Source organism: Homo sapiens, chromosome 4 (genome assembly GCF_000001405.40).
Source record: "Homo sapiens chromosome 4, GRCh38.p14 Primary Assembly".
Lineage (NCBI taxonomy): Eukaryota > Metazoa > Chordata > Mammalia > Primates > Hominidae > Homo > Homo sapiens.
Genome location: NC_000004.12, coordinates 153,080,071 through 153,105,338, shown reverse-complemented (window position 1 = coordinate 153,105,338; position 25,268 = coordinate 153,080,071). Strand labels below are relative to the sequence as shown.

At 44.2% G+C, this 25,268-nt stretch overlaps 1 annotated feature.

The window, feature by feature from the left end:
- Window positions 20,051–20,110: an enhancer, noted in NCBI's record as "active region_22048". NCBI's record gives its function as "activates an Ori minimal core promoter by ATAC-STARR-seq in GM12878 lymphoblastoid cells {active_cell/tissue: GM12878}" and the evidence as "EXISTENCE:reporter gene assay evidence [ECO:0000049][PMID:35858748]".

The window sequence follows — 25,268 nt, the reverse complement described above, 5'->3', positions numbered from 1 at the left end:
TATCTGCTGCCTTCAAGAGACTCACCTAACAAGTAAGGACTCAGATAAAGTAAAGAGGTGGAAAAAGGCATTTCATGCAAATGGACACCAAAAGCAAGAAGGGGTAGCCATTCTTATGTCAGACAAAACAAACTTGAAAGCAACAGCAGTTAAAAAAGACAAAGAGGGACATTATATAATGGTAAAAGGCCTTGTCCAGCAGGAAAATATCACAATCCTAAACATATATGCAGCTAACACTGGAGCTCCCAAATGTATCAATTACTAATAGACCTAAGAAATGAGATAGACAGCAACATAATAATGGGAGGACTTCAATACTCCACTGACTGCACTAGACAGGTCATCAAGACAGAAAGTCAACAAAAAAATAATGAATTTAAACTATACCTAGGAACAAATGGACTTAACAGATACATATAGAACCTCCCATCCAACAACCACAGAATACACCTTCAATTCAACAGTGCATGGAACTTTCTCCTAGATAAACCATATGATAGGACACAAAATGAGCCTCAATAGATTTGAGAAAATTGAAATTATATCAAGCACTCTCTCAGACCACAGTGGAATAAAACTGGAAATCAACCCCAAAAGGAACCCTCAAAACCATGCAAATACTTGGAAATTAAATAACCTGCTCTGGAATAATCATTGGGTCAAAAACAAAATCAAGATAGAAATTTAAAAATTCTTTGAACTGAATGACAATGGTGATACAACCTATCCAAACCTCTGGGAAACAGCAAAGGTGGTGTTAAGAGGAAAGTTCATGGCCCTAAACACCTACATCAAAAAGTCTGAAAGAACACAAACTGGCAATCTGAGGTCACACCTCAAGGAACTAGAGACACAAGAACAAACCAAACCCAAACCAACCCAGCTGAGGAAAGGAAATAACCAGGATCAGAGCAGAACTAAATGAAATAGAAACAACAACAACACCAAAAAAAAAAAAAAAATTAAAAAACATAAATGAAACAAAAGCTGGTTTTTGAAGAGATAAATAAAATTGATAGACCATTAGCATGATTAACCAAGAAAAGAAGACAGAAAATCCAAAAAACCTCAATAAGAAATAAAACAGGAGATATTACAACTGACACCACTGAAATACAAAAGATTATTCAAGGCTTCTATGAACACCCTTATGCACATAAACTAGAAAACCTAGAAGAGATGGATAAATTCCTGGAAAAATACAATCCTCCTAGCTTAAATCAGGAAGAATTAGATACCCTGAAAAGACCAATAACAAGCAACAAGATTGAAACAGTAATTAAAAAATTACCAACCAAAAAAAGTCCAGGACCAGACGGATTCACAGCAGAATTCTACCAGACATTCAAAGAAGAATTGATACTAATCCTACTAATACTATTCCACAAGATGGAGAAAGAGGGAACCCTCCTTAAGTCATTCTATGAAGCCAGCATCACCCTAATACCAAAACCAGGAAAGGACACAACCAAAAAACTACAGACTGATATCCCTGATGAACATAGATGCTAAAATCCTTAACAAAATACTAGCTAATTGAATCCAAAACATAACAAAAAGATAATCCACTATGATCAAGTGGGTTTCATACTGGGGATGCAGGGATGGTTTAACATACACAAGCTAATAAATGTGATACACCAACTAAACAGAATTAAAAACAAAAATCACATGATCATCTAAATAGATGCAGGAAAAGCATTAGACAAAATCCAGCATCACTTTACGATTAAAACTCTCAGTAAAATTGGCATACAAGGACATACCTTACTGTAATAAAAGCCATCTATGACAAATCTACAGCCAACATAATGGAAAAGTTGAAAACATTCCCCCTCAGAACTGGAACAAGACAAGGATGCTCACTCTCACCACTCCTCTTCAACATAGTACTGAAAGTCCTCGTCAGGGCAATCAGACAAGAGAAAAAAATAAAGGGCATCCAAATTGGTAAAGAAGAAGTCAAACTGTCACTATTTGCTGATGATATGATTGTTTACCTCAAAAACTCTAAAGGCTCCTCCAGAAAGCTCCTAGAACTGATAAAAGAATTGAGCAAAGTTTCTGGATATAAGATTAATGTACACAAATCAGTAGTTCTTCTATACACCAACAACAATCAAGCAGAGAATCAAATCAAGAACTCAACCCCTTTTATAATAGCTGCCAAAAAAGAAAACACTTAGGAATATACCTAACCAAGGAGGCAAAAGATCTCTATAAGGAAAACTACAAAACACTGCTGAAAGAAATCATAGATGACACAAACAAATGGAAACACATCCCATGCTCAGGGATGGGTAGAATCAATATTGTGAAAAAGACCATGCTGCCAAAAGCAATCTACAAATTCAGTGCAATCTCCATGAAAATACCACCATCATTCTTCACAGAATTAGACAAAACAATTCTAAAATTCATATGGAACCAACCAAAGAGCCCACATAGCCAAAGCAAGACTAAGCAAAAAGAACACATCTGGAGGCATCACATTACCTGATTTCAAAGTATACTATAAGGCGTCACCAAAACAGCATGGTACTGGTATAAAAATAGGCACATAGACCAATGGAACAGAATAGAGAACCCAGAAATAAAACCAAATACTTACAGCCAACTGATCTTTGACAAAGCAAACAAAACATGAAGTGAGGGAAGGACACCCTTTTCAACAAATGGTACTGGGATAATTGGCTAGCCATATGTAGGAGAATGAAACTGGATCCTCATCTCTCACCTTATGCAAAAATGAACTCAAGATGGATGAACGACTTAAATCTAAGACCTGAAACTATAAAAATTCTAGAACATTGGAATAACCCTTCTAGACATTGGCTTAGACAAGGATTTCATGACCAACAACCCAAAAGCAAATGCAATAAAAGCAAAGATAAATAGCTGGGACCTAATTAAACTAAAGAGCTTTTGCGCAGCAAAAGAAACAGTCAGCAGAGTAAACAGACAACCGACAGAGTGGGAGAAAATCTTCACAATCTATACGTCTGACAAAAGGCTAATATCCAGAATCTACAATGAACTCAAACAAATCAGTAAGAAAAGAACAAACAATCCTACCAAAAAGTGGGCTGAGGACATGAATAGACAATTCTCAAAAGAAGATACACAAATGGCCAACAAACATATGAAAAAATGCTCAACATTACTAATGATCAGGGAAATGCAAGTCAAAAACCACAATGCGATATCACCTTACCACTGCAAGAATGGCCATAATAAAAAAATCAGAAAACAGTAGATGTTGGTGTTAACTAGTACAGCCACTATGGAAAACAGTGTGGAGATTCCTTAAAAAACTAAAAGTAGAACTACCATTTGATCCAGCAATCCCACTACTGGGTATCTACCCAGAGGAAAAGAAGTCATTACACAAAAATATACTTCATTCATGTTTATAGCAGCACAGTTTGCAATTGTAAAATCGTGGAACCAACCCAAATGCCCATCAATCAACGAGTGGATAAACTGTGATACACACACACACACACACACACACGATGGAATACTACTTAGCCATAAAAAGGAATGGATTAACAGCATTTGCAGTGACCTGGATGAGACTGGAGACTATTATTCTAAGTGAAGCAACTCAGGAATGGAAAACCAAACACCATATGTTCTCACTGACATGTGGGAGCTAAACTATGAGGATGCAAAGGCATAAGAATGATACAATGGACTTTGGGGCTTTGTGGGGAAGGTCGCGAGGAGGGCAAGGGATAAAAGACTATAAATATGGTGCAGTGTATACAGCTTGGGTGATGGGTGCACCAAAATCTCACAAATCACCACTAAAGAACTTACTCATGTAACCAAACACCACCTGTACCCCAATAACCTATGGAAAATTTTTTTTAAAAAAAAGCTTTTGGGCTGAAACAATGGGGTTTTCTAGATACAGGATCATGTCACTGCAAAGAGGGATAGTTTGACTTTCTCCCTGTTTGAATGCCCTTTATTTCTTTCTCTTGCCTGATTGCTGCGGCCAGGGCTTCCAATACTATGTTGAATAGGAGCAGTGAGAGAGGGCATCCTTGTCTTGTGCAGGTTTTCAAGGGGAATGCTTCCAGCTTTTGCTTATTTAGTATGATGTTGACTGTGGGTTTGTCATAGATGGCTTTTATTATTTTGAGGTATGTTCCTTCAATACATAGTTTATTGAGAGTTTTTAACACAAAGGAATGTTGAATTTTATCAAAAGTCTTTTCTGCATTTATTGAGATAATCATGTGGTTTTTGTCTTTAGTTGTGTTTATGTGATGAATCACATTTATTGATTTGTATAAGTTGAACCAACCTTGCATCCCAGGGATAAAGCCTACTTGATTGCGGTGGATTAGGTTTTTAATGTGCTGCTGGATTCAGTTGGCAAGTATTTTGTTGAAGATTTTTACATCTACGTTCATCAAGGATATGTACATCGATGTTCATTAAGGTCTGAAGTTTTCTTTATTTGTTTTGTCTCTGCCAGCTTTTGGTATCAGGATAATGCTGGCCTCATAGAATGAGTTGGGGGAGGAGCCTCTCCTCCTCGATTTTTTGGAATAGTTTCAGTAGGAATGCTGCCAGCTCATCTTTGTACATCTGGTAGAATTTGTCTGTGAATCCATTTGGTTTTGGGCTTTTTTCAGTTAGTAGGCTGTTTATTACTGATTCAATTTCAGGCTCATTATTGGTCTGTACAGTGAATCAATTCCTTCCTGGTTCAGTCTTGGGAATGTCTCTGTGTCCAGAAATTTATCCATCTCTTCTAGGTTTTCTAGTTTGTGTACATAGAGGTGTTTGTCACAGTCTGATCATTGTTTGTATTTCTGTGGGGTCAGTGGTAACATCCCCTTTGTCATTTCTCAATGTATTCATTTGGATCTTCTCTCTTTTCTTCTTTATTAATCTAGCTAGTGGCCTATCTTATTAACTTTTTCAAAAAAACAGCTCGGGTTTGTTAATCTTTTAATGGTTGCTTGTGCCTTGATCTCCTTTGGTTCAGCTTTGATTGTGGTTATTTCTTGTCTTCTGCTAGCTTTGGGGTTGGTTTGCTCTTGATTCTCTAGTTCTTTTAGTTGTGATATTAGGTTGTTAATTTGAGATCTTTTTAACTTTTTGATGTGGCTATTTAATACTATAGATTTCCCTCTTAACACTGTCTTAGCTGTGTCCCAGAGAATCTGGTATGTTGTATCTTTGTTCTCCTTAATTCCAAAGAACTTCTTGATTTCTGCCTTAATTTCATTTCATTATTTACCCAAAAGTCATTCAGGAGCCAGTTGTTTAATTTTCATGAAATTTCATGGAGACCTGTGTAAAAAAGCAGTCTGACCACATTTTTGTAGAACAGCTGTGCTGTGCTGGGGGCCTGCACCAGCCCCAGTTGCCTCAGACTCTCCAAAGCCCGAAGGCAAAAACAGCTAAGGCTGCTAAACAGCTAAGATGGCTGCCACCTCTCTCCCTGGGAGCTCCATCCCAGGGAGATGTAATGTTGTTACCCATGCTGGCTGGAGTTCCAAACTAGTGGGTCTTATCCTGCAAGGTGCAATGGAAGAAGGGTCTGCAGACCATCGCTGCTCAGTCCTCTAGATTCAGCCCCTTTCTTAGGGGTATGTACCAGGTTCTAACCTCCCATTTTACTGGGGTTGCAGTCACTGTTGCCAGGAAGCCCAGATATCTAAAGCTCCTGGGGCTCCACATGTGCCTAGGCAGCTGCTCTCCCAAGACTCCACATAGCTCCACATGTCAGACTGTAGGCCCTGGTGGAGTGGGTTCACAAGGGGATCTTCTGACCTTAGGGTTGCAAAGATCCGTGGGCAAAGGTGGGTCCCTGGGGTTGCTCATTCACTCACCACTTCCCTAGGCAGGGGAGGCTCCCCTGGCTCCATGTTGTTCCTGGCTATGCTGTCATCTTGCCTTGCTTTTCTCAGTTTTCTATGGGTTGAGTTGTTTTCGTGACGAATTCAAATGCATGCACCTGGGTGTTTCATTGAAGGTGCTGTATTTACTCCCCCCATCTATTTCTCCTCATGATAGTGGCATACACACACACTAGTTGCTTCTTTCAGCTATCCTGTGTTTTATCCCCAACTCCCCTTTTGCTTTTGACATAGGGCCTCACTCTGTCAGTCAGGTTGGAGTACAGTGGCACAATCGTGGCTCACTGCTGTCTCAACCTCCTGGGCTCAAGGGATCATCCCAACTCAATGTCCCAAGTAGTTGGGACCACGGGCGTGTGCCACCACACCCTACTTTTTTTTTTTTTGTACAGACAGGTTCTTGCTATGCTGCCCAGCCTGGTCTCAAACTCCTGGGCTAAAGCAATCCTCCTGCCCTGGCCTCCCAAAGTGCTGGGATTACAGGCATGAACCACTGCGCCCAGCCTTGTCTCTGCTTTCTAAGAAGACATTGGTGAGTTTACTGACTAGATCAGAACAGAGCCCAGGTGCAGGTCTCTAGAAAACTCTTGTAAGACCAACACTCACAGAACACAGTAACTGTACCCATCTAATGTCTATGATTCAGTCCACAATTCTCCACATGTTGACAACACCAAGGTTCAAGGCCTTGCTGAAATTGCAGCACAGATACATCAGCACTCCCTGGTCTACCAGGCCAGGCTGCTTCCTCATTCCCTGTGCTGCTGGGTAACTTAGAGCCTTACTCTTCTTGTCTGTAAAATAAAGATGAGGATGACAGCAGGCTCAGAGGCTGCTGTGAGATGATGTATGTAAAGCACTTTGTGGCTCATAATTTAAGAGTGTCACCCAGATGGCGGTGGTTGGAAGTTGAAATCCTACCAAGGCAAGGCTGAGAGTCCGGAATGACCTGTTTGTCATTTGGGTCTCTCCCAATGATCACGACTTTCCATTCTCAGTGCTCACAAATCATCCACTTAATAATCTGTTCTAGAATTTTGCTAGAAATTTATTACAAACTCAATGGCCTATAGCTCATAAAACTCATCCTCTTCCCTCTTTGGAGAACTGAAGTAAAGCACCACACCTTGATCTATAACTGACATGAGAATAATACCCAGATTATATAGAGAACCCCTGTAAATCAAGAGGAAAAAGAGAAACAACCCAATAGAAAAACTGGCAAAGGACGTGAATAAGCAATTCACAGAAGACGAAAACTGAACAGCCCATAAAAATACAAAAACATGCTCAACTTCATTTGTAATCAGGGAAGCATGAATTAAAATCATGGTGAGCAACAATTTCACACCCTTTATGTTAGGAACTCTATAAGTCTGGCAGTTCTGAGCGCTGTGAGGATGTGGAGGAAGGGAACCCTTACACACTGCAGTGGAGTGAGAATTGGGACTTTCTGGCGAACAACAGCAAGTGAAGCTGCAGACCCCACCCCTCAGCGAGACAACGCCCAGGTACACACCTGCGATAAGCTCAAATGTTCCAACAGCGTTGTTTATTAAGAGAAACAGTGCAAACAACTTACATGTTTATCAATTAAAAAATGGATTAAGAAATAATATGTTTATACAATGGAATACTACTTAGCAATTTAAATGAATGAACATGAAAGGGGGTGCAAGGAAAGCTTCTAAGTCCTGGTAACCGGCTGCTTAATTTTTTTAAACAAATAATGTTTCCACGGGTGTAACAACTTTGAAAAATTCCTTAAGCTGCACCTTTAAGATTTGTGAATTTTATTAATGGATATTATGCTCCAATAAAAAAGTGCACAAAAATAAATGAATGTAAAATTCATGTGTCACATAGATCAATCTCAAAACCACAGGGTTCAAAAAACATATGTTTTTGAAGGCATAAATGAGTTACATATGTTGCTGAAGGGATTAAATGAGTTGCATAAAATATAGTACAGCTGAGCATGGTGGCTCACACCTGTAATCCCAGCAGTTTGAGAGGTCGAGGTGGGAGGATCACTTGAGCCCAGAAGTTTGAGAACAGCCTGGGCAACATAATGAGACTCCCGTCTCAACAACAACATTAAAAATTAGCTGGATGTGGTGGTGTGAGCCTGTGGTCCCAGCTACTCAAGAGGTTCAGGTGGGTGGGTGGATTGCTTGAACCCAGGAGTTTGAGACTAGCCTGTGCAACAAGGTGAAACTAGGTACAAAAAATATTAAAATTAGCCAGGTGTGGTGGTGCGTGCTTGTTGTCCCAGAGCTGGGGAGGCTGAGGTGGGAGGATCACTTGAGGCCTGGAGGTTGAGGCTGGAGTGAGCTGTGAGCGTACCACTGCACTCCAGTCTGCTGGGTGATAGACTGAGACCCTGTCTCAAAAAATGTGTGTGTGTGTGTGTGTGTGTGTGTGTGTGTGTGTGTGTAGTACCATTTATATAAAGTTTTAAAACTTGCCCAACTATTTGATATGCCATTTATGAATATACACAGATGTGGCAAAATTGTACAAACAGGCAGGGAGGTGAGGAGGGAGCAACGGAAATGGGTGTAGAAGGGCCACAGGCAACAAATAACTGAAATGTTTACGTCTTAAGCTGGGTGGTGGGTACGCAGGTATGTCATTGTATGATTGTCTGTATTTTTGTATGAATATACTTTATTTAAAGCTTTTTAAAATAAAAAATCAGGACACATCATGTCTCTCTGCAGTCTTCTGCTTCCCTCTGTTTCCCCAGGATTCTCAAAGATGGCCCCTGAAGCTGAGCATTGTCTGCCGTGTTTCTCATGCTGAGCGGAGGTAGTGGCTAAGAACATGAGCTCTGGAGCCAGGCTGCCTGGGTGCAAATCCCAGCTCTGCCATTTGCTAGCTGTGTGACCTTGGGCAAGTGATTTAACCTCTCTGTGCCTCAATGTACTAATCTGTAAAGTGAGGATTATAGCAAGACCTGTTGAATAGGGATGTTGATGGGATTAAATCAGTTGAAATGCCTAAAATGGTGTCTGCCATTTTGTCTACACTAATGTGTCAGCTCTTAGGATGGCCTTGCTAGGCCAGAAGTCTGGACTGTTGCAGAAGCTGAGTGCTACTTCAACGTGAACTTTCCTTTCACTCTTAGCCTGTTCCACCCTCTCCAGCCCTCCTCCTTTTTATTTTTATTTTTCAGAGATGGAGTCTTGCTCTGTCTCCCAGGCTGGTGTGCAATGATGTGATCTCAGCTCACTGTAGCCTCAAACTCCTGGATTCAGGCGATCCTCCCACCTCGGCCTTCTGAGTAGCTAGTACTACAGATGCGTGCCACCATGCCTACATATTTTGTATATGGGGTCTTGCTATGTTGCTCAGGCTTATCTTGAACTCCTGGGCTCAAGCAATCCTCCCATCTCAGTCTCCCAAAGTGCTGAGATGACAGGCATGTGCCACCAGGCCCAGCCTCCAGCCTTCCTCATAATAGAAGGCACAGAAACAAGAAAAAGCAGAGCATTCCCACAGTTCGTTTCCCTCATGGTCCACCCCGAGTGAAAGGCCTAGAGCTTCTTCGCTTGCCTTTCTTCTCTGCCTCACACTCTGGAACCCCACCGCTGTCAACTTAAGGGCTTTACCTCAAGCCTGAGCACACTTGGTGCCTGGACTCCCTGACCTTCTGCTTCAGAAGCCACTCATTGTTTCATTGGGCCCACGTGATGTTTAAAATATTTGAAACAGTTGCCTATGTTTATAAATCAGGAGAGTTCCTATTACAGTCTGGACCTTAGTGTCTCTTGCAAACTGGAAAGATCTGACAACGTCAGGCCCATAGGGCATGTGGCTGAGTGACAGCCCTTGTGAAAGTGAACTCCACAGTCCTCCTTGCTGCCATACCCGGGCACTGCACACAGAGAGCAGGTGTGTCACACGCGAGGCTCCTTGCCATGGTACCAGGGCCTGGAAGGTGCCCAGGCTCTGCTTGCCGAGCAGTGGCCCCAACACGGAGATGCCTGTCTCAGCAGAAGGGCCCCATTGCATCAATGACCCAGAGATGCCATATGGACCTGGGGCAGCTCTGTCTTGTTGCCTGGCCTGCTCTGGGCATCTGAGTTGGCAAGTAGCACTTAAGCTGAAGGTCCCATGGCCTTTTTATTGTGCTGTTCTGTTCTGCCACTCTCCTCCCACCTTTAAAATGTGAGCTCCCTGATGGGCCCTCTGTAAGGTGTATCTATCCTTTAAGGTCCTATGAGGAAGCATCTGAAGGTGACTTTCCTTTGGGGAGAAAATCTCTCATTGAAGTTAAACCTCTCATCCGAAGTTCCCTGAGATGTGAATCATCATCTGGGACACTCCGATGGCACCTGTGCTTTCACTCCTGCCTTCCACACCTGGACAGCCACTCCTACCCCGAGGAGAGCCACCAGGTGTCTGGAGCAGGGGGAGGCTGTGGTGGAGCAAAGGGGACAAGGAAGGAGGGGGCAGGAACAGGGGGCAGCTGACCTTGGTGTCACCTGTGGAAATGGCTGCTCTGAGGCTCTGAGATGTTGGCCGCCTCTGGGATTTCTTCATCATTGCATATGTCTGACCCTCTTCTGTCTTTCTCAGTGAATTGCCAATAAAACACCTTATGCCCAAGGGGTTGGATGCAGATTTGCAGGAGTGGCAGGAAAAAAATTGAGCCTCAGGACTGTCCACCTCAGCCAGGGATTTGGAGGAGAGAGAAACCAAAAGCATAGTGGGTGTAGGTCTGATGAGGACGGGAACAGGACCTTACTCCAGGCCTGCAGGACACCAGGAGGAAGCAGGCCTGATCCAAGAAAGAGAGACCGCAGGGCAGAACCAGCAGGATTCATGTCGGCTTCCAAAGGTGCCCTTTCCCCAACAATAGACCCATTCATATTTCTCTGCTTGGAATTTTATTTCTGAGAAGCTCCCTTTTTTTTTTTCTTGACTCTTCTCTCTTTTAGAATCACAGATCTGGAAACCTGCCATTCTAAATTCAGCAATTTCTAGCCCAAACATCAAAACATCTTGCAGGGCCCCACATGAGGGTTGTGCTATCATTTATTCAGCTGAAGGTATGATTGGGGTTTATATGGAATCAGGTGTCCTGGGAAATAACTCCACACCCATCCCCACTGTCAGGGTCACAGACACTTTACTCCTTTGGCCCAAATTAGATGCAGAGCAGACCTCTCTCCACTGCCTCTGAGAGTCCTTTTACCAAGTCCTCAGTGCTCAGAGGAGCAATGCTTTAACTGAAACTCTGCAAATTGGAGGGAAAAGAGGATCTGGGGACATGATTTCAAGTGGTTCGAGGTGGCATACATACTTAAGTCTCTTTTGCTTCTAAGTTTCAGGTTTAGTGCTTTTTGTACCTCCCATTCAAAAAATGAATTGCAAACCCAGTTATCAGATTTCAGTCAGGCCTGAATACACACTAATGGGCAGCCGTGGGGAGGGAGGCGCAGGCTGAGGAGAGCAGGGGAGGGTGGGAGTGACACACTAGTGAGCAAGTGCGGATGATCTCTACACCCACCCCCAGAGGGTGGCAAAGGGGGAAACTTTAGCTTTCACATATTACTCCTCCTAATTAGGATAAAGTCTGCCTGTTGTTTCAGGAAAAATTAAGGAGAAAAGCTATCTTCTTGATTTTTAAAAATCTGTCAGAATACAGGTGGAAGTACTTATGGTAGAAACATAAAAGGCAATGCAAGTCTGATAATATCCTTTATACTTAATGAATGGACATAAATATGAATGGAAGCACTTCATTCATGTTTCTGCAGCTCTAAATTCCTATGGCTCAGACCCTTTTTCTCCTGTGAAGCTATTCTAGGACAGAAAAGGAATACATTTAAATTCTCTGTCACTGTACCAGAGATATTTCTGGCTCACCAAACAGCCACGTGCCCTCCCCAACTTCCTAGCCCCCTTGCAGTAAGGCAAGGACAATGTGCTGTGAGCACAGTGACAATGTACTGTGTGCTTTTGGACAAAGCACATTGTCTCTCTGCCACAGTGACCAGCAGTGCTCCATCAGCCTGGACTCCTGAGTGACCATATGGAGCAGAGGACTTCTCTACCTCCAACCCGCATTGGCAGGGGCATGAATAAGAAAAAACTACTGTAATGAGTCATTGAAATTTGGAGGTCAATTTGAAATTGTATGACCTTGGGTAAGTAATCTAGCCTATTTAATCTAGCCTATTCTGATAATACAGAAAATTATATTTATCAGTACATATATAGTTATATACAGCACACATATACACTCTCCTTCTATCACCCCCCTGCTTTTCCAAAGTTTAAGAAAACATATACATCTTTCAGGTCCTGTAACTACTTTCTCACAATACTGTCTCTATTGGCTATGACTAGATCTAGTTTTCTTTGTGGGGAAGAAAAAATATCAATGCAGACCGAGGCGAAAGTGTGGAGAGGGAGAATGGAGATGGAATGAAAGCACAGCCAAAGGGCAGGCATTTTGAAAGGATGCCTGAGCATTTTGGGAGTGCTGATTTGCAGGCGTTGACAGTCATGTTGATTCCGAGATCTTTTCAGTGGGAAGCTGGAGTGCAGAAGTAGGTTTTGTAGCGAGACTAGAGAATTAGCAGAAAGGTCTCTGCACCAGCCATCTGCAGACCTGAGTTCCCTGGCTCTATCCTTTCTGTACCATTTACCTTTTAAAGGAGATAATAAGGCTAGACATGGTGGCTCACACCTGTAATCCCAGCACTTTGGGAGGCCGAGGTGGGCAGATCACCTGAGGTCAGGAGTTTGAGACCAGCCTGGCCAACATGGTGTAAACCTTGTCTCTACTAAAAATACAAAAATTAGCCAGGCATGGTGGTGGGCACCTGTAATCCCAGCTACTCAGGAGGCTAAGGCAGGAGAATCACTTGAACCCAGGAGGCAGAGGTTGTGGTGAGCTGAGATCACATCACTGCACTCCAGCCTGGGCAACAGAGCATTACTCCATCTCAAAAAATAAATAAATAAATAAATAAATAAATAAAAGGAGATAATAAAATCCAACACTTCCACAGTGATTTCAATAGGCCTGACTCAATTCAAAGCTTTTTATGTACCTTGGCTCATTTGAGCCTCCCCACAACCCTTTGAAGTTGGCACTATTATTAACAGTTGAAGTAGACTTAAGTAACTGTCTCCAAAAAGATCAGATCCAAATTCCTAGAACGTGTCAAATGTGACCTTATATGGAAAAAGGATCTTTGCAGGTGTGATTAAGTTAAAAATCTTGAGGTGGGGGTGTCACCCTGAGTTATCCAGGTGGGCCCTAAATGCCATCAAGAGGATCCTTATAAGAGAAATGTGGGGCATTACGAATGCACAGAAGAGGAGAATGCCATGTGACCGTGGAGGCAGAGACTGGAGGGCTGCAGCCTAAGCCAAGGAATGCTGGCTCAGCCAGGAGCTGGGCCAGGCAAGGCAAGGATTCTCCCCTTAGTGACTCTGGAGGGAGCGCTGCCCCATCAGCACTTTTTTTTTTGTTTTTTTTTTGAGACGGAGTTTCGCTCTTGTTGCCCAGGCTGGAGTGCAATGGCATGATTTTGGCTCACCGCAACCTCCGCCTCCTGGTTTCAAGAGATACACCTGCCTCAGCCTCCCAAGTAGCTGGGATTACAGGCATGCACCACCACGCCTGGCTAATTTTGTATTTTTAGTAGAGACGGGGTTTCACCATATTGGCCAGGCTTGTCTCAAACTCCTAACCTCATGATCCGCCCGCCTTGGCCTCCCGAAGTGCTGGGATTACAAGTGTGAGCCACTGTGTCTGGCCCCACCTGCACTTTTATTTCAGTCCAATGATAGAGACTTTAGACTTTTGGTCTCCAGGTTTGTGAGAGAATAAATTTCTATCGTTTGAAGCCACCAAATTTGTGGTAATTTGTTACAAAGTTTGTAAATTTATTACAGAAATCACAGGAAACTAGAATACCTCTATTCTATAGATGAGGAAACTGAGGCACAAAAAGACAATGTAACCTGCCTAGGTCCCCCAGTTGATGAGTAGCACAGTCAGGTTTAAACCAGATCAGCATGTCTTTGGGGTCTGGGCTCTGAATGCCTCTGCCTGCTGCTAAGAGGACCTGGGAACTCAGCAGATGTTAAGACAATACTGTTGTGTGTAGGGCAAGCAGCTTTGCTCAGAGGCAGAAGAGTCATCCAGGCTCCACCTCAGCCCCATGTTCTCTGGCAGTTTAGCCACTATCCTCAGGCACTGGTGTTTCCCCAGTCTGTACAGGCCTGGTGGGCTTCAGAGTTTCCTCTGTCAGCTGCAGGTGATTCCCTGGATGGTCCACGTCCTCTACAGATGAGAACCACAGCAGCGCGAGCTGGCACCTGGAGGAGAAGGGTTCCAGCTCCTCCTCACTGCAGCACCTGGAGGCTTCCGGTGGGTTCTGGTCTGGAATGACATCCCTGAGAATTAGATTTATAAGTGATCCGTGGAAGAAAAAGTGAGACTAGACATGAAATTTGGCTCTTCCTTAATAAAGACATAAATGCAAACCTATTGAGCCAGACAGGAGGCTGGTTGGTGCCATGGGGGAGCTGGTTTCCTGTACTGGTTGGTGCCAGGTGAGCATTGCAGGTCTTTGCCCTCTGCTAACACAGGTGTAACTTCCTTTTCTAGACAAGCAGAGAAATTGTGCCAATTCAAAGAACAGTGCCCAGGCTCCTTCATGCATTCGTACCTTTGGCTAATTCCTTATGACAGAGACCCCCAGTATCTGTTCTCCCCTTGTTGCTTCACAACACAGCCCCTGGTGTGTAGCTGGGCGTGTGGCTGCCCAGAATAAAGGCCACATTTTCTAGCCTCCCTTGCAACTAGGTGGGGCCATACAACTAATTTCTGGCTGATGGGATGCAGGTGGAACTGTGTGAGACTTTTAAGAAGCAACCTTAAAGGGAGGGGCATGCCCTTCTTCTCTCCACCCTCTTTCCTGCTGGCTAAAATCCACACATAATGGCTGGAGCCCATGCAACCATCTTAAAGCAATGAGGTGGAAGCCTCATGGTGAGGGTTGGTGGAGCAGCAGGAGAGAAGCAGCTTTGGTCCTTGAAGCATGGGCATAGACTGCCTGCCTTCAGTCTTCTTTCACATGAGACCGCTGCTATTTTGGGTTTAGCCAAAACTGATAACCTCTCTTTCCTCAATCGTAGCCACCCTTATTTGTGACCTTGCTTGACCAGAGATTCATTGTCTCCAAACCCTTCTAATTTCAGCCAGCATCATTGTCCCCACTTAGAGAAAGCAAAGAGAAGACATGTAGTGGGAAGTGTTCTGATTCTGCCTTTATGAAAGACGAAGCCGAAATACAGAAGCTGTTTTAAGATAACTTTAAAGCCAGGCCTATTATGCCTCTGTCACCCATTTGTTGTGACTGAAATGCCTCATTGTGTGGTTTCAGTTCCAAAAGAGGAAAGGGATGCATTCAGATCGCAGGCAAGGCTGCTCTGCGGCGTTAATTGTATGCCTGCGCTTGTGTGTCCACTTGTCATGTGTCTTATATTGCCAACTACATGGTGAATTAGCTTGAAGCCAGGGACCAGGTCTGGAATGAGCCACGTCTAATACATGTTTTGCATCCTGCGTGGAGCTGGGTACATGGGCTGCCTGTTATAAATGTGCTTACTGGGATGATGCATGCAAGACCTTTGCCAGGATTGCTTTAGATATGTCAACCATCTGCACATTTACATGTGGTAGACAAAATTGCAAGTCTCACTTGGTTTTCCTGCTTTGTTTTCCTTCCTCCCGGTTTACTCTAAAAAAATTTCTAATAATCTTTAGAATTTCTCCTTAAAGTAAGCTTTCGTGACTTTTTTTGTGTGTTCTGAGAATTAGATGCAAATAAGTTTTGACTTGCAAATTCTAACTCAGCAGCTGAAGGCTTCAAGCAGAGGCCCTTATGTTCCTTTGCCTTTCTCTACATAGACTCATTCAGAAACATAATTACACTCTTAAAAAACATAACCCTTCTTATTTCAAAAGCATCAGTATTGTAATTGCCTTTATTATGATTAACCTATACAACTGTCTTTGGAATTGCTTTAAAATAACAATCTACTGGCATAATTAAACACACTTTAGCAATGCATACTGTATTTATATGGTATCTTAAAGCTTTTCTTCAATGATTTTACAAGCCTTACACTTCCTGCAAAGAAATTTACTAGTTCATTAAGCTATTTCATTGTCACTTAGGTTTTTAAAAACATGTACTGCCAGAATCCTCAGCTATAGCTTTAATCTTGCTATTTATAACTGGAACAGAAATTGAGTCAGTACTTCCAAAACAAACCTTTCTGATTCAGAGGTCAGCCAATCTTAACTCAGATTCAAAATTTACAGATGTGGCAAGCCCTCCTGTGTACAGGCTGTAGGTAGCTCCAAAACTGTCCACCTGAGACATCTCATCATATTTGGGAAGAAGCTCCCAAAGAAAATGACCAGTAGCCTCAGCCCTCATCCCCAAACCGTTCTTTTCTATAAATGGAGGCAGCATCCAATCTCCAGGGCATAAGCCAAGAGTTTGACACCCAGCCAGTCAGTGATAAACCAGGTGAGCTTGTGGAGTCGGTTTGTGCAACATGCGTTCATCTTAGCTTTCCACATCAACTCACAGGAAGAACCCAAAAAGAAAGTCGTCTAGTTAAAGATGGGAGGCAGTAAAAACAAAATGGAGCTGGGGTCCCTTCTCCTACAGTTAAGGAGATGATCTACATTGGTGCCCACACTCAAAAGCATCTGGGCATATGTAGAGCATATCTAGGGTATATCAATGGCATATGTAGGGCATATATAAGGTTTATCTAAGATATATTTAGGGTGTATATAGGGTATATCTAGGGCAGATGTAGGGTATATGTAGGGCATATGGAGGGTGTATGTAGAGAATATATAGGGTATATCTAGGGCATACATAGGGCGTACATAGGGTGTATGTAGAGAATATATAGGGTATATCTAGGGCATACATATATCTAGGGCATACTAGTTCATATGTAGGACATACCTAGGACATACCTAGGGCATACCTAAGGCATATATAGGGTTTATGTAGAGCATATGTGTGGTATATCTAGGGTATACCTAGGGCATATGTAGGGTATATCTAGGGCATACATAGGGCATACTGGGTCGTATGTAAGGCATACCTAGGATATATCTAGGGCATACGTAGGGTATATGTAGGGCATACATAGGGCATACCTAGGACTTATCTAGGACATATGTGGGGTATATGTAGGGTTTATGTACAGCCTATGTATGGTATACCTAGGGCATATGTAGGGTATATGTAGGGCATATGTAGGGTATATGTAGGGTTTATGTAAAGCATATGTATGGTATACCTAGGGCATAGCTAGGGCATATGTAGGGAACATGTCGTACCCTAGATCTGAGCCTGCTGCACCAGCCCCTCTTGGTGCTGCTTCTACATTTCATTTCATTTCATTCCAGTGAGGTTTCATGGGACTTAGCATGTCCCAGAACAAGCTCTGAAAGGCTTCTTTGATATCCAGTAGAAATTTGTTTAGAAAGTAGACAATAGAGGCTCTCTGTTCTGAAAAGAATAGATATTCATCCAGAAAGAGTTTTCTCCCCTCTGCACGTTGAATTTAACTGAAACAGATAGCAAAATTCACCAAGTAGTGCAGTCGGAAAAGCCCACAACGTGAGGCAGAACCTGAGGCTGATGTTCGAGGTTGCCACCTATCGTTGGCCTCTCTTTATAGACTGTGACACCCCGCTTCATCTCTTCCTGCTGCTAGCTCACGTCGGGATTTTGTCATTGACTGCCCAGTTTACTGAAAGAACCTTCTTCCATTTCTCCGCTCCCTTCAGCCTCCATACTATTGCCACTACGATTGCTCTAGAAATGGTGTTGGCCTAGTTAGTCTCTTATGGAAACTCTTGACACCATTCCATGGCCTTCGGAATAAAATTGAACTCCTTCTCTTAAGCCCTCATGTCCTCCCTGCTCTGAGACCTGCCTACCTCTCCAAACCTCCTCTGGCAGCTGCCTACACATTTCCTTGCCTCAGTCATCCAGAATGAGCCCCAAACACATCATGATTTTTATCCCTTTGCCAAGATCTCTTTCTGCCAAGTGCATCCTCCCTACCTTCCTCTCCTTTCACTTGTTAATTTCTTGGCCTCTAACTCTGTTGCTAAGAGTCAGTAACCTGGGAGGCCTTCCCTGACTCTTCCGCCTCTCTCTGTGCCTGGGAGTGCCTCTGTGCTGACTTTATCTCACTGTGTGGTTGACACCAACTGCAGTGCATCATAAGCACCTAGAGAATATAGACTGTAAGATCCCTGTGGGCAGGGCTGTGCATTATTCATCAGTGCTTGACATGGTGTTTGGCACAAATTATATGCTTAATAAGTATTATTGATTAAATGGATCTACAGCCAGGAAGAAATGGAGTGAAGGCATCATACCCATGATGCCAAATGCAGTTCCAGACACCATGAAGCCATCTTCTCTCTCCATCACTCTCCCATTTTACCCTGTTTCTCCCTTTTTCTCCCCAACTCACCATAGGCACCAGCGTCATCAGCAGGCCCGAGAACATGCTGGGGTTGGGCAATGGCATAGGAAGGGGAATGTTCTAGAAAGTTGTGTTTGTCTCTTTACTTCCATCTACATTTCTATTAACCCCATTCATATTGGATATTGTGTGAGAACCACTTTAAAAGGCAAAGAAGAGCAGAGACCGGGGTTGGGAGAGGAGAGGAGAGGAGAGGAGAGGAGAGGAGAGGAGAGGAGAAAAAACAACAACAACAAAAAACATCACACTTTTTTTGGTAATACCATTAGAAATACAGTATTATAAATGAGCAACCTCTTCAAATTGAGAGAAGCAGAGTTGAATATAAATCACCCAAATATTTTTGGGTGCATATGCATAAGCCGTTGGCTGTGCATGTTCCTCTATGTTCTAAGATCCAGTTCCACCCTGCTCTGTGCCCTGGGAGGAAGGCATCCATAAGCTGCATCAGTTGGGCTCCTTACTCCCTAGCTCTGACTTAGATCATGACCATAGGACACACACCATTAGTAAATTAAAGAGAAGGGGGAGAAAGTCGAGGTATTTGTTTCTTTTTCTCTCTCCTTGTCTCCTTAGCTCCTGGCAAGGCTCACCTGTCCTATTTTCAACAGAACTGCCAGTCCAGTCTCAAACAGGATAAAGGTGTCCACACTTACTTAAAGAATACAGCATCTACAGGAGTACCTGGTCTTTCTAATGTCATTGTTACAAAAACAGAGGCAGCCAGGGAGATTTCTACTGCAAGGGTTCCCAGCTGGTCTTCTGAGCTATTGTGGATAGTGTAAAATGAGACTTTCTCTTTTTCCAGCTCCTCTCTCCTGAGACAGGGGCCACTTCTGACCTCTGCTCACGCCCCTTCCCCTTCCTTCATCTAACAAACATTTTTAGAATACCCAACACATTCAATCTATGACAATGAATTTGAGCCATGTTGGCACCAAAATGTCATTTGCACTCTTCCTTCACTCAGTAACCAAAGTCTAATGTTCCATTCAAAAGCAAAATATCTTTCACGCTTTCTTCAGTGGTCTTTGGAGTCCTCACTCCTACTTTCAGATCTAAATGGGGAATGTAAGGAGTGTCACCCATTGTAGGGGGCATTACAAATACAGTTAAATAGCTCCAGAGTGAAGACAGAGTCATCTAGAGATGTGTCCCTTACCAGGGTCAGGCACAGGACTAAGCACTTCCACATCACCACCTAATTTAATCTGTTTAAAAACCCTTGAGGTAAGGAGCATGATTTCCCTCATTTCATAGATAAGGAAAGTGATTACTGAGAAGTTATGAAACTCCTCCAAGGTTACACTAGTTCCTGACTGCCAAGCCAGGATTCAGACACTAAGACGCCAGAATGCTTGCTCTTAACCACCGTACTCTACCACTCTGAGAGCTCAGACAAGCCTGCCATCATCTCTAAGCCTGAATTTCCTCCAGTGAAAATGACAGCACAAGATTGAATCACTTAGAAAGTCCCTCTTGCTCCAAACCCGGGCAGTTCTCCTCAGGAGGCTGCTTTACCTCCATCTACCACCAGGTGGCGGGCAGCCAGCCGTGCAAACGGGTTGCTTGGGCTGCAGGGCGAAGACCTATTATCCCCCTCAACCCTGTCTGACTGTGGCGTGGGAATGGAGTGGAAACTTGTTCCCAGTAGTAATTGGTGTCGAGCCACAAAACTTCTAAGGTGGCAGAGTCAAGAGTTTAACCAGTTGGTCGAATGCCTATGGGCATGTATTTCCATCAGCTGCAGCTGCTACTGCTTAGTTGACAAGTAACACAGGAGACCCTGGGATCTCACACCACCAGTTCCTGGCGGCTCTGTTCCTGCAAATGGTGTGTTGGAACCAACATTCAAAGTAACTACAGGTAAAGAAGTAGGTGCATGGCATCCCAAGGTGGATGTTGTTGATCAGCAAAGGACTGAACTGCTGCCAATAGCAACACGAACCCACTCCCTGAAGCCCCAGTGAGGCCTCTAACTGGTAGCGCCCAGTTGGATGTGTGAAAATAAGAATGAACTGAACTTGGCCTGGGAAGATGAAGACACGGTTTGTGACAGATGCACAGCCCGGGGCTGGCTTCCCATCGATCCAGCTTTTGAGCCCACAGATGGCATCTTCAGGGAGACGTCACGGAACCATGGATGGTGTTGCCACATGCATGCTCTGACAACCTCAACCAAATGAGAAGGAGCAGGGGCTGTCCTCAGTGTGTTGACTCTTCCCTGCTGGTGGGGTCAGGGACATCCTGGCCACCCCAGCAGAGGCCTGCCTCGTTCTCACACTCTGAGATTAAACCCTGAGGGTGGAAATGAGACAGTGATGCCTCAGGACTTGGGAAATGAAGGGTAAAAGTGGCGATGGGTTCTTCTAGTCCTCTGCCTAAGGGTGAGTGTGTGAGTGTGTGTGTGCATGCAGACTAAATAATAAAACTGGGTGACTGCCCCACATCAAACGTTGCCATGGAGAGAAAGTGAAATGCAGGGAGGTGAGCAGGACTATTTCACCGGGGTACAAGGATTCCAAATTCCAAAGGCATTGTTCTTACCTCTCCCCATACTGCACTGCAAACTCACAGCCGCTCTCCAGATTTTGGAAACGTCTGTGGGGAGATCGAGTCATTTCATTAAACTCATGAAGTGAGAAGTTTTACCTGTCGTAATTCTGGCTAAGTTCAGTCTTTTGGAAAAGCAGTAAAAGATGTTTGCTAAGGAAAATAAAATTATAAAGGTCACTATGTTCATTTAAAACTGAGTTTTCCAAATTAAATTCCTGTTTTCTTAGTGAAAGAGAAAAAAAACCCAATATTGGTCTCCGAAAGAGAATTAAAAAAAAGTTAAACTGAAGTGATTTATTTAGAAACCCAGTGTAAAGAATGAAGCATTTATCTCCCCCTAAAGCAAGGTCACCCAAACCCTCTGAGAGCTAGAAGTCAGCTATGAATCCAGCATCAGCATGCTTGTTGGGAGCAATTAGCACTGAGTCAGGTCCGCATGCATGTTGGGAGCTGATACGACCTTAATTGTTGCATCCCACTGTGTGAAGAAATAAGCACTTATATTAGCTCTAGGTCAATGACTGTGGCTCCCCCACATTTATGAGCTTGGAGTCTTGTCAGGCTGAACAAATAAAATAATACTTGTGGCTCCTTTGGTCCCAGCATCTTCCCAGGGATTGACTGTTCTTCCCGTGAAATGTCAGCTTTCATCAGCAAAGAGAACAAAGCAAGCCAGAATATTAGCTTGAGGAGGACTAAGGCACCATCTGGTGGCCGTTTACTATAAATCTTTGCCTCAGATGCAAATTCCTCGCACAAAGGAGCCCTGCCTTCTGATCTGTAGGCTGCCCGGAAGCAGTCGGCCTGACCTGGGAAAGCTGGAGAATACCCACACTTCCACAGCACAGCAGGCTTCTTTTAAAGGTTTGTCCCAGTGTAAAGTCCTCAGCCCCAAGTTTTATAACAACATCCTCACCACGAAGCCCAGAGAGGGAGCACCCCCTGAGGTCTTCACAGCTTGAGAAAAAGAAAGAGCCATTTGGGCTGTAACATTTTAGAAGGTTCTTGAAAGGAAAAGATGCCCAAGAAATCCTACTTTTTTTCCTCATGAATATTCTGCAGTACATAGAAAAAATATGAAGATCCTGCCTGTCCGGTTACTCTTCTCATTTAAAACCTTCTTAATTGACTAAAGAGCATTTTTACAAGACAAGTGCATTACAGACTTACCCTTCCCCAAGTGCAACCTCTCCCCTTGGGCTCCCTGACCACAGACTGGCCTTTGTCCTCCCTGACAGATGGCAATGACTAAAGTGACCCCAACTTGACATTTTTCAATAAGCAACCACAGAGCAAGGCCATCACTAAGCAAAATTCCCAAGTGAGTGAAGTTCTTCCCTGAAGTCCCTTCTCCCCACTCCAGCCGCCCGTATCCATCCCCTTCACCCCCTTCTCTCCCCAGCCCCGCTATTGACCCATCCTGACCGAGGTGTGGGGGTGTGTCTCAATTCTGGAAAGTCTTGCTTGCTAGGATGAAATGCTCTCTCAGAGGATTTCCACATTACCAGGGAGGGGCTCTGTAAAACCTGTATGAGCCAAAGGATAGAGTTTCCAATCATGTCATCTGGGGAGGGGGTGACAAGTTGTGACACATGACTCTGGGGAGTAGACCCTGCTTGAAGCCCCTGAATGTGGAGAGCCACAGCTTTGCCTGCTGGTAAGGCTGGCCCTACAGAGAGGAGCCCTAAGACCCTGAGCTTCACACCCAATGAATGAACGCGCTTCTTCCTGGTGCCGGCCCCGTGCCCATGGCTCTCGTCTGCATGAGCGAAGAAACTTTACCACTTCTGTCTCCTGCTGTGGTTGGTAGAGCTGTGTTTAGACTTGCCTGGTCTGAAATAAATAGTCGGGCACTTCTCAGAAACGGGCAGTTCACACTAATTAACAGGAAGAAGATGAAACAGGAACCCAGCTCAGAAGAGCTGTTCACCTCACAGATCGAGTAACCTGGTGCAGGAGGGGGCCGGGGTGTGGAGGAAGGAATGGGTGCCACTGAGAGGAAAAGTTTTCTCAGCACGAATTGGCTTGGGTTTCCTTGTTTGGGGCTAGAAAGGGGAGAAAGGAGGACAACTGCTTATCACTCACTTGCCTGGACACTATATTTAACGCTAGAGGGCTCACCAATGAACCCCCATTTGCAAAGGTCAAAGGATGGCACCACTCATCAGTTTGCTGTTTCAAGAGGCCGAATGCAGCTGGACTCCAGTTAATAAGGAGAAAGAGCAGAGTTACACACAGGGTACTGCAGGACTGTTTTGTTTGTTTGTTTGTTTGTTTTTAGCTGGAGTAATCTCTAAGTGCCCAAGGAGAGGCATCCTGGAGGCCACTTGTTGTGCTGCAGCCTTCTGGAATGCAGAGGCCACTGCCACAGACTGGCTCAGAGAGAGGACAAGGGGAAGACCCCACAGTGTGGAGCACTCCATTACCTGGGGCCGGTCCAGGACTCCCCCCCGCTCTGACCTCATGACTTCTCAGATGTCAAGTACTCCCCATAAGCCAGGGAAGTGAGAGTTCATCAATTGTACTCAGCCACTGGAAAGGTTTGACAGAAAAATTACGAGGTATTAGCACCGAGGCACCACCTTGGGAACAGAAACACAACTGGAGGAGAGGTCAGGAGAACCAGAGTGTGGTGGGTTGACTTGTGCACCGCCCCCGCCAAATATATATTGGCTTTCTGGGAGCTCAGCCCTCAAAATGGGACTATTTGGACATAGAGTCTTTACAGAGGTAATCAAGTTAAAAAGAGGTCATGAGGGGGCCCCTAGTCCAACTTGACTGATGCCCTTGTAAAAGGGGAAATTTACAGGAAGAATGCCATGTGAGCATGAAGTTGTCCATCCGTAAGCCAAGGAGAGAGGCCTGGAACAGAGCCTTGCCTCATAACTCTCAGGAGGAAGAACCCTTGGACTGGTATCCTCCAGAACTGAGAGGCAAGACATCGCTGCTGTTTAAGCCAGCAGGATGTGGTATTTCATGATGGCAGCCCTCACAATAGCATACGCAGGGTCTGTGTCTTTGCATAGGTCCCTCCACTGCTCTGGATAATTAGAAGTTCAACCAGACACATTCAGAATCCCTTGCAGCCCAACACTCTGACTTTCTAGCCGCCGGGCCTGGAATAACAACGGGGAGCATCTGGCCCCCTCAGAACCTAAAGAGTTGACAGACTGAGCCCTGCTTTTGTGCAACACATCCCAAATCACCACATTCCAAAGGCAGCTGAGCCTAGAGATGGGCTGGGAATTACTGCCTGGTTCTGAAGCGTTGTTTAAAATAGTATAGAGCTAAATTTGAAACTCATTTAAAATAAGTCAGTAAATCAGTTAAAGAGTTATCTTTCTTTACAAGCCTTGGTCCTCCTCCAGCCATGCTGGCCTTCAGGTTCAGGGTGCATTGTTCGTATGTGCTATTATTGGATGGTAGTAATAAAGAAGCCCATGCATCTGAATGCATCTTGCTAATCACATTCTCTATTACCGCCTCTTTCCACAGCTGCTACCATCAATTGTGTTTGGTTTTGCCTGGGAATAGGCATGTGTTTGGTGAACTCTGAGTGTGTTTGGGTTGCAGGTATAGTGCTTGTTGGATGAGGAGGTGCAGGAGGGGAGTGGTGAGGGTGGACACCAAGGTTGGCACATGACAGCAAGCTGGGGATGTTTTGGAGGGTCTATGGATTCCTGCAGATGCCTTCTCCTATGAATACTTTTCATAGTATCTTGCAAAGGAAAGAATCTTTTCCTTTGCAAGATGTCTATGAAACTGGCAGCAGCTATGGAAGCCAGACCTGAAATTTAACAGATCAATTAAATACCTTGTTTTGACATTTTGGTACCAAGGTTGGCAAGACCACTCCAGGAATGGGTCTAATTGGGAAGAGTCCTGAGCTCTCCTTATCCAGACACTTCCTGGTGTGTAACTGCTCACACCGGTGCCAGAACTCAGAAAAGGGATCCTGGGCACAGAAAAAGCCATACCTGAGGCTGACCTAAGGTAGCTTCACACTCCTGGCTGCTGCTGCTGCTACTGGTGCTGGGGTAAGCCTCTAATGTGGCAGGAAAAGGGAGGGAGGGGGAGAGGGAAAGGGGGAGACGGGAGGCAGGCTCCTTTGAGGTGGTTCCATCTGTGCTGAGTGACTAAAATGAGGGTGATGTAATAAATAATCTGCAGACTTCCAACTGCTATAATTCTGTGTGAATAATTCTGATAATGACCCTTTACTCAGCAAGGGTGGCATCCAGATAAGCAGATTGCTAGAGC